Below are 9,896 nucleotides of genomic sequence, written 5' to 3'. Positions count from 1 at the left end.
TAATTAGCTTGATTTTCAGTATGCTTTCCAGAAGTATTAAATAGCAAAACGTTGATGATGTAGTTAAAATTTACTGAAATATTTAATAGTCTGTATTATATTTAAGCTCTCCCTGTTCAGTGTAATAAAGAATATAACCCTTGCTGATGGGCAAATGGGAAGCCTGCGCAAGTTTCTTAAGAATTGGTCGATGCAAATGCAACAATAGGCGCAGGTTTTAATAGAAGCGTCTCTGTCCGTGGTGCTGAAATGAGATTTACCCAAGAGCTGTACTGAAGATGAAGATACTGCAGTGACCTTTAGTAGGGAAGATGTAATGACAGTATCTCTATAAGCCTTAATGTTTTGTTCCAAGGGTAATTTCTTACACAACACAATAAACGGGTACTGCTTTTCAAGGGAAATAATACACCACATTCTCTCTCTTTCTCTCCTACTTTCCCAATCCCATATACAAGCAGAACAACTGTTCCTCTGTCTCACTTGCGTTCTGCTGGGAAAATAAAGTCAAGGGTGGTATAGATCAAATAATTTTGTGATTTTTTTGATAAAAGAACTGGACTAAGGGATGCCTATTTTAAATGAACACAGTCGAAAGGCCATATTTTACTTTGGGCGGATTAGTTGTGCTTTTGACAGTTAAATTAAACTCAAACTGACCTTGCCTTATTCTCATTCTTCAAGACCAGAAACACAGCTCTCTGAAAATAGTAAGTCTGAATTTACAACATTAATTTAGAGTGATACTTCACTAGACAAGTGTATCTTAAACTTTTTTATCTATTTTTTTAACCATATCACTTTAACTTATGCCTGGGAATAAAACTTTAATGGTAGAAATTAATAATGAATAACTACTGCAATAATTGCAGTTATTTATTTTGACAAGATATGTTGCATTGAAATTGTAAAGAAAAGGAAACTCTACGTCTTCTAATTCTACTAGTAATAAAAGGATTGCAGAGGGTTCAGTTTAGTTGTGTTTAAGAGTGGTACCCTGTAATAATTATATTTGCCTCCTTCCCTGCATGTAAACCCTAATTTCTGATAATTTCCATTTGTATAACTCAGTATTTAAAAGACAGTCTGTATTGACAATAGACTGCAGCGTATTTTCAAATGAGCATGCCAAATACATCTTAATTTAAATGTTCAAGTAAATATATTAAAAAGTTTTCTTTCCCCTTAACCTAAATTACCTCTCAACTGTATATTTACATCATTTACATAATCATAGCGATAAAGTATAGTGTAAGTTAACTCATTTATAACGTTATTGCCTACTTCTGGATTATGTTTTTGTGTAAAGTAGAAGTTAATTGTAGGCACAAAAAAGCACATTATGAAAACCTTAATTTCTTTAAAAACTTAGTCTTCGCCTTGATAAGTAAATGCAGACACTTGATTTCTTATCACCGCAATGGAGAATTAATTGCATGTTATGTCGTGCAGACGTTTATTGGTTGTGGGGTGTTTTTTTGTTGTGGTTTCTTGTAAACTTGAAATATTTATTCCATAATAGCTGTTGTCAAAAATTACAGTTGCAAATTTGAAGTGTGGTGTTCTTGGTTTAAGACTCACAAATCAATTGGTTATATGTAGAAAGGGAGTAGAAGCATAGTTTCTTAGTTTAACATATATTTTCTCTTTGATTCTGAAAAAGCCACAAACACATTCACATATAAACTATGCCACATTACTTAAAATGTTTTTTGTCTTTGAAAGATATGCCTGAGTTTCTTTCTGAACACTTTTACTTATTTCAGATGGACTTATGCCTATGAAATGACTATCATTAGGAGCCTTGTTCAAGATAGAAGTTCTATGCAAAATTTTTCCTTTCTGAAGGCATCTGCAAAGTCATAGGCTACATTAAAAGTAAATGTATTATATTTCTGTAATTGGTAATATTTTCATTAAAATTAATTTTAATTTATAATTTATAAATATATTTATTAAGATTGTAGAGAAAAGAATACATAAAATCATGTTAGCACCACAAATTTTTGGGATACATATTTTAGAAAAACTATATTAACTTTATTATACTCATTTATAATTAAATGAGTAATGCAGTGATTTCTAAATTTTAGAGTTAGGATGAATTATTACTTTCCGGTTACATATTCTGCCCTCATTCAAAACTGCTACATTTCATATAAAATAAGAATAAATTAAATTTCATTTTGATTTAAATTGTTTAAAAGGCTTTTTGACCAATTATTCAGAAGAAACCCCTTAGAATAGACCTAATAAAATTATAGTGTCTCAAACTTATAGTAATTGCTGGTCAAATATAGATTGGATGTACTTCTGTATTGCAATGTATCATAGAAAAAATATTCACTCAATATTTTTAAATATTCTGATAAATGTAAATATATGCATTTATCTGGGAAATTATTTATGGATAAATAAAGAACACGAGATGTTGACTATATCATTAATACTATAGCATTTTGCTACATTACATAAATTGAGTAGTAAATACTACAGCAGAAATTTTCCCCTGTAGTTTACAGTGTTATTTAAAACAATGTTTTTGATGCATAATAAAAAACTGACAAAGCTACCAAAATTTTTAAGTTGTTCGACAATATTAAAAAATGAAATATTCTAAGTTACAAAAGTACAAATATTTATTATAAACATGCTTGATTTTTCTTAAATACATATTTTCTCTTATACATGCCATTCTTTAGTTCCTGAGAATTCTTGCAAATGAATATAAAAGTGAGGAATTTATGGGATATAAACTTTTATTTTACAGACAAACTTCTAAAGTCATTGATAGCTTTATTTAGTTACTATTCCCTCAAACAGTTGGTCAGTGTAAGTGGGTTTGAGATTAGATTGCAAAATAAACCATTGTACCATCTGTACTTTAGTTCTCTCAGTATAAATTGTAATTTTTGTTCTCTCAAGAATGTATGAATGCTCACATTTTTATTTTTACAATCTTATATTAAAGCAGATTATATTGCTTATTTTTATATAACAGACTATGACCAAAAGGATACCTTGCAAGTATTAGGCATGTATAGCAGGGCTTTCTCATTTGCATCACCCACAAACATTACCCAACTAGTTTGAGAACATAGAGTTTGGTTACATAATGTACAATTTGAAAAGAAAAAAAAATGCATTTCTTAAATTCTTATGTATTTTAGTGTTACACACTGAAGATTCATAAAGAAATAGTTCTCACTCTGTCGCCCAGGCTGGAGTGCAGTGGCGCAATGTTGGCTCATTCAACTTCCACCTCCCGGGTTCAAGCGATTCTCCTGCTTCAGCCTCCCTCGTAGCTGGGACTACAGGTGCGCGCCACCACGCCTAGCTAATTTTTTGTATTTTTCATAGAGATGGTGTTTCATCATGTAAGCCAGGATGGTCTCGATCTCCTGACCTCGTGATCTGCCCGCCTTGGCCTCCCAAAGTGCTGGGATTACAAGTGTGAGCCACAGCGCCTGGCCAAGAAATAGTTTTTTAAGAAGAAATCAAGTATCTTACAATTTTTTATCACTTAAATTTTGAACCAAAAATATTTTGCTCTTGACTAAGTGCTATTGTAATATCATGTCACTGTTCAGAAGTGTGGAGTACACATCTGTAAATAGAACATTTTAATATTCTACCACTTTATTTACAAATAATTTTTATAGTGGAATTGCTTCTCTAGAAGATCAGTCTGACCATGCAGATGACTACTTAAAATTTTTTTTTATTGATGCATGATAGTTATATGTATTTTTATTTCTTTAACCATTAGTAAAGCTATTTATGAGGTTGAAGAGAATATCATAATCATTTTAGTTTATGGTTTATGTTTTTTATCTTCTTGCTCCATGTACAACTATTGATTTATGATTTGTGTTTTATTTTTATAGAAAGATATCCAACATTATATCTTATTATTAGATATTTGTTTTCTCACAGACCATGGAATACATATTTTTAGTTTGAACTTGTAACTGGGTCAAACTAGTGGCTACATAGGTATGATCACAAAGTTTAAATAATTGCTGTTATATATTGCTTTTAACCTCTTTTATTAGATGAAGTTAGTGTCCACATATACATGATGAATTAAAGTATTAACAAAGGAAATCAAGCAATGCTCTCATTCTCCTCCACATGTAAATCATAATTCATTAACATATATTTTTACCAGGTTTAATGTACGAGAACAAATTTATGGATAACTGTTTCAAACAAAAGACTATTTTGATTTGAATGATGTGAACTATTGCTTTAATTTTATTTCTCAATTTCTTTTAAAATCTTTATCCGCTGTGTTGCTCTCACAATGACTAAGCACCAAATATTTTGTTGTTTATATTGATCTACATTGCAAATATATTTTTTTCAGTTAACATATACTCTAGATTAGTGGCCTTTGGGGTCACAGTGGAACATCCTGGAAATCTTTGAGGGCGCTAAGGCCAGGGCATCCCAACCCTAAGAGATTCTGATTTTATCGTCCTGCCGGTGTCATGGGTCTGGGCTCTGTCAAAGTCTCCCTGGTGATTCTGATGTGCAGCCAAGGTTGGGAACCACCATTCTGGTTCACAGTGACAATTGATATAGAATGACCTTTCAGCTCCTATATCTCAGTAGTACATCATAATCCCATTTGCTCAACTGATGAAAGTATAACTCAGATATTTTTAAAAAGTGGTAATGGCAGTAAGACATATCCCAAGGGCAGGGAACGAATTTCTATTGATGAGACTGAGGAAGTGCATGAGAAGTGAACTAACTGGGTCTCAGAGTTAGGGAATGTGCTAGAAGGGATCATGGAGAGAAGGAGATGGATGTGTGGAGGGCCAGAGTTTTGACTGTTTAAGGTTGTGTCAGGCAACTATGGATTTTCTATGTTTTAGCCAAGGTTGTAATATCAGTCATCTTTTTTATTTTTTAAGTTTAATTCATGAGATACTATATAAAGTTAAATTTAAATTTTATCTAATAAGAAATCAAGCATCATTGTAAGCTACATAGTGGAATTTCTTCAATGTAATGCTCTAATTTACTCTGATTCTTTTTTTTTTTTTTTTTTTTGAGTTGGAGTTTTGCTCTGTCGTCCAGGCTGGAGTGCAGTGGCGTGATCTCAGCTCACTGCAACCTCCTCCTCCTGAGTTCAAGCGATTCTCCTGCCTCAGTCTCCTGAGTAGGTGGGATTACAGTAGCTGCGATTATAGCCTACCACCATGCCCAGCTAGTTTTTGTATTTTTAGTAGAGATGGTGTTTCACCATGTTGGCCAGGCTGGTCTCGAACTCCTGACCTCAAATGATCCACCCACCTCGGCCTTCTAAATTGCTGAGATTACAGGCATGAGCCACCGCACCCGCCTACTCTGATTCTTTAATACTGGAAATGAGAGATGGTTAACATGACTTCTTTCTTGTCAACAAATTGTTAATGACTTACAGTTGTATTGTACTGGAATGCATGAAAATATTTAATTCTTGGGTAGTTTTTTAAAATTCTTGGGCTTTTAAGGTGTTAAAATATGGTAGTTGATTTTCCCCACTTGAAGTTTTCTTTCTACATTGAGTCATTTACAAACAAAATTTATAGAAGCTATCTCAGATGCTTAAAGATCCTGCAAAAGATAGATGTTTAATACCTGTTTAAATACCGTTATTGATCTTAGCAGTAGAACATGTGTGGTGGGTGAATGCAATAATCATTTCTTCGGAAATACATGGGAATTTTGTATGTCAGCTGCTTCATTTTGCACAAGAAGAAAAATGAGTTCTATCAACATTAAGAAATTGCTGACTTAGCCTCTTCACCTCTCAGTTTTCCTTTCCTCCTTGTCAATGTGCCTTCTTTCCATCGCTGGGTCCTCTCCTGCCATTTGTTAGCTGCATTTCCAGAGCCTGTGTACCGTGGGGAACTCGAAGTTCAGAATTCTTCTTTTCTTCTCTGTACCTTCACCTCCATCAAAAAAGATTGATCTCTTTCTTATGGAGCTGTCACTGACTTTGTTTATTTGAATAGAAAACTGAACTAAGACGTTAAATAGACGATCATTATTAAGTATTAACTCTTACAGAAAATGACTTAAATCACCCAGAAATTTAAGCCCTAGAGCAATCTTTAATAGCAGGTAACAAGCTTCAGAATTTATTAGATGTCAGAAACTATTCTAATTTGTTTAATCATCACATCAACTTTATGAGGGAAGTATTATTACAGATTTTACAGATGGGGAATGTGAGGACATAAAGTTAACTATCCCAAGGTCAAACAGATGGGTTATTAATTAATTAATCTATTTTGAGACAGTGTCTCACTCTGTTGCCCAGGCTGGAGTGCATTGGCGCAATCTCAGTTCACTGCTACCTCTGTCTCCCAGTTCAAGTGATTTTTATGCCTCAGCCCACTGAGTAGCTGGGATTACAGGTGTGCCTCACCACAAATGGCTAATTTTTTGGATTTGTAATAGAGATGGGGTTTCCAAATGTTGGCCAGGTCTTGAACTCTCCACCTCGGGTGATGCTCCCACCTTGGCTTTCCAAAGTGCTGGGATTACAGGCCTGAGCCACCGCACCCAGCCGAGATGGGTAATTTAAATATTAGGGTCACTTCATCACTGTAAATGTTTTCTTTTTCCTTTTGATTAGAAATATTTACAAACATCCCAAAGAATTAAGACATTATTATAATAAACCCACATGTAACTGTCTTATACATTTTACAATTATTACGAATTTTGCCATATTTACTACTTCTATTTAGTTTTAATTTATCATTGAAAACATTTTTCGATGATATAGCAAGCAAAGAAGACAGAAATGTGAGAGTCCTGGGCAACTAGGATGGATGGCCAGGTTTATCATGTCAAAGGCTTAGGTAACCTGAATATGAATGAATAATGTGAAGATCAGAAGAACACGAAGGTTTCTGATTTCACGTTTAGAGCTGAGTAGAGAAAGGATGTGTGTATGGTTTTGGTGGGATGGAAATAAACTTTGGAGATTGGCGATAATTTCTATGAATTCATAATTTCAATATGGCAGAGTCTTTTAGTCTGGTATATGAAAAGACCTTGCCTAGGGCTTGATGATGCCCAGTAAATGGGAGCAATTCATTAAAACCCACGGGAAACATCAATAAAATTAATATAGTCCTCACTTGAGATCTCATATAAATTTTCTGTATAGAAGACTGATTTACAAGACTTTTATAAACAGACTTTGCATATTGTATGGTAAAATCCTCTGATTTATTGCACCTACATTTATTGTGCTTCTCTAGAAAGATGATTCAATTATTGAACAACTGTAGAGTAAAATGGAAAACATAAGTTCAGTTGGAGTAAAATGTTTCATTCCTAAGGCTGGAATTTTTTTCTCTATTTTAATTTAGAGATTAACATGTGCTACATTTTAGATTGACTGGATCCTGATAGGTGCGTAACCAAAGGCCTTGAACACTTTGGTTCACAGCCTTTTTGAGAGGACAAGGGGAGAAACCATTGTAGTGATCCTCCATCTCCTGTAAACCTGTGGGTAGAAATGGTCTTGGGAAACGTTTTGTGTTATGTCGTCTGTCAGGCATTGGAAAGCCATGTGCCTCCAGATTCCACTGTAGAAGATGTGAACTTTGTCCTGCACCCTAGATTTTCAGCTTTGTATTCTGTTATGGTTGGTTGTCTCTGTTGTTCTCTACTTCACTCGGCATTTATCCAGTCAGCCATAGTTAGTATTTTTATTGATTGAGGACTGAGATGAAGTGGGTAACAGATATCCTTGATGTCGAGCTAGAGCTACCAGACAAGGCAAACCTGGTAGCCATGACAGAGAAGATGGAGCAGGTTGAAGAAAAGCCTGGAAGCTGTGCTGCATGAATGAAAACAGGATTACCCTGAGATAGAGAAGACACAGGGAGACACAGCAAGGTTCTTTAACTTGACGAAAATTGTCCTGTGGAAGGAAGTCTTACTATCCAATGCTTTGTGTTGCTTTAGGGGTGAGAGTGAGGCTCTGTGTGCAGGTGTTTTGGCAAGAAGATCTCTGCTCTACATAAGGAAGAGTGTTCTATGAAAGGAGTTGCTCTCCTACAAAAGCAAGGGCTGTCTCAGGAACTCAAGAGCACATTTCCACAGAAGATGTACAAATGGGATGGGAGCTGTCGGCCACCACCCTAGAGAGCATCTTTCCTGTGGGTTGCAGGTTGGGCTACATAATTTTAAACATTCCATCCAACATCCTTTGGCATAAGATGAGGCACCCGGAAGTGACTTTGCATGGTGAGATGGTACTTAGTGCCAATAAAATTCCATCACATAAAAAAATAACTATTTTTTTTAGCCTAACACCTTGCTCACAGTAGTAGTACTTTGATTTTAAAAAGGAAAGCTTGCCAATTTCAACTTTAAATTATTTCTCTGATTCCTATCCATGTTATCAGTGAGAATAATTTAAAAAATAATGAATAAAGTATATATACTTACCCTAGAGTTAGACAGGAAGTGAAACTAATGAATAAGTAATTGTTTGCTCTTGCTAATATCGAGAATATATACTGTCTCATCTCTTCTGGTCACAAACACATCAAGCATTATAAACTCTCAAAGAACCCTCTAGAGCAAAGCAGGACTCAACATTATGGTGGTGCTGGGAAGGAGAAGTTTTCATATGACCTTTCTCCATTGGTTTCACAGCACTTCTTTGCACACAGTTATTCATGTCCACATCCAATTCTTTGGGGACATTATCAAAAGAACTGAAGTCATTGTATACAAATTCTTTCTCTTGTCCAGGTGCAGTGGCTCATGCCTGTAATCCCAGCACTTTGGGAGGCTAAGACAGGAGGATCGCTTGAGTTCAGGAGTTTGAGATCAGCTTGGGCAAGATAGTGAGACTCTGTCTCTACAAGAAAATTTTTAAAAATTAGCCGGGCATGGTGGTGCATACCTGTGTCCCAGCTACACAGGAGGCTGAGGTGAAGTCATTGGAATCCATGAGTTTGAGGCTCCAATGAGCAGTATTCGTGCCACTGTACTCCAGCCTGGATAATAGGGCAACAACCTGTCTGAAAAAAAAAAAAATTCTCGCTCTTAGGGAATTCCACTTATTCAATAAACAAGTTCTGTCATAATAATGTTATCATCCATATATTATTCATTCCCCACAAAAATTCAACATCATGGGCAAACTCAGTTTTCTTTATCAAAGCGGTAATTAAGACTTAGGTTAAGAGTGTGCGAACATTCTCATAGGTAAGTATGGCACATCCAGAATTCAAACCCAGGAACACCTGGCTCTTAATCTCTTGGGTTTACCTTCACTATTACCTTATACTGCTCACTGTGCCGCAAGTCTTTGCCCATGTCTGGTTGCCCTGTTGTTTCTTTTGTTTTTGTTTTAGAGGGAAGGAGGTGGAGGAGAACAGCAGGAGTGGATAAAGTGTACAATTCTTTGGTACATAAAAGATAATGTAACTTGCTTCATCCAGAATGTGTGTTGTTGTGGCAGCTTGGTGTAAAGCAGGGGTGTCCAATCTTTTGGCTTCTGGGGGCCACATTGGAAGAAGAATTGTCTTGAGCCACACATAAAATACACTAACACTAATGATAGCTGATGAGCTAAAAACAAATCACAAAAATGTTTTAAGAAAGTTTGTGAATTTGTGTTGGGCCACATTCAAAGCTCTCCCGGGCTGCCAGCAGCCCACGGGCCGGGGGTTGGACAATCTTGGTGTAAGGAATGAGCATAGGCTTAAGAGTCAGAGAGGCCTTGATTCCCAGGGTGCTTTCACCAGTTCCTGTAAAATGGGGATTGGTGCATCCAGTTTAAGGCAGCACCCAGAGATACAATGGAGCAAGCATGTGGTGAAATGTGGCTAGAGCTTCCTTTCTGTCAGCGAAACGCCTCTGCAAAG

General features: G+C 35.6%; 1 protein-coding gene across 1 annotated transcript in view; it reads left to right on the top strand.

The window, feature by feature from the left end:
* The window catches only part of NALF1 (NALCN channel auxiliary factor 1), a 703,987-nt gene that overhangs the window by 2,521 nt on the left and 691,570 nt on the right, over nucleotides 1-9,896 (top strand). The window lies entirely within an intron of this gene.

This window comes from Homo sapiens, chromosome 13 (assembly GCF_000001405.40).
Source record: "Homo sapiens chromosome 13, GRCh38.p14 Primary Assembly".
In the NCBI taxonomy this organism is placed as follows: Eukaryota; Metazoa; Chordata; class Mammalia; order Primates; family Hominidae; genus Homo; species Homo sapiens.
This window is presented reverse-complemented; position numbering and strand designations above follow the sequence as displayed.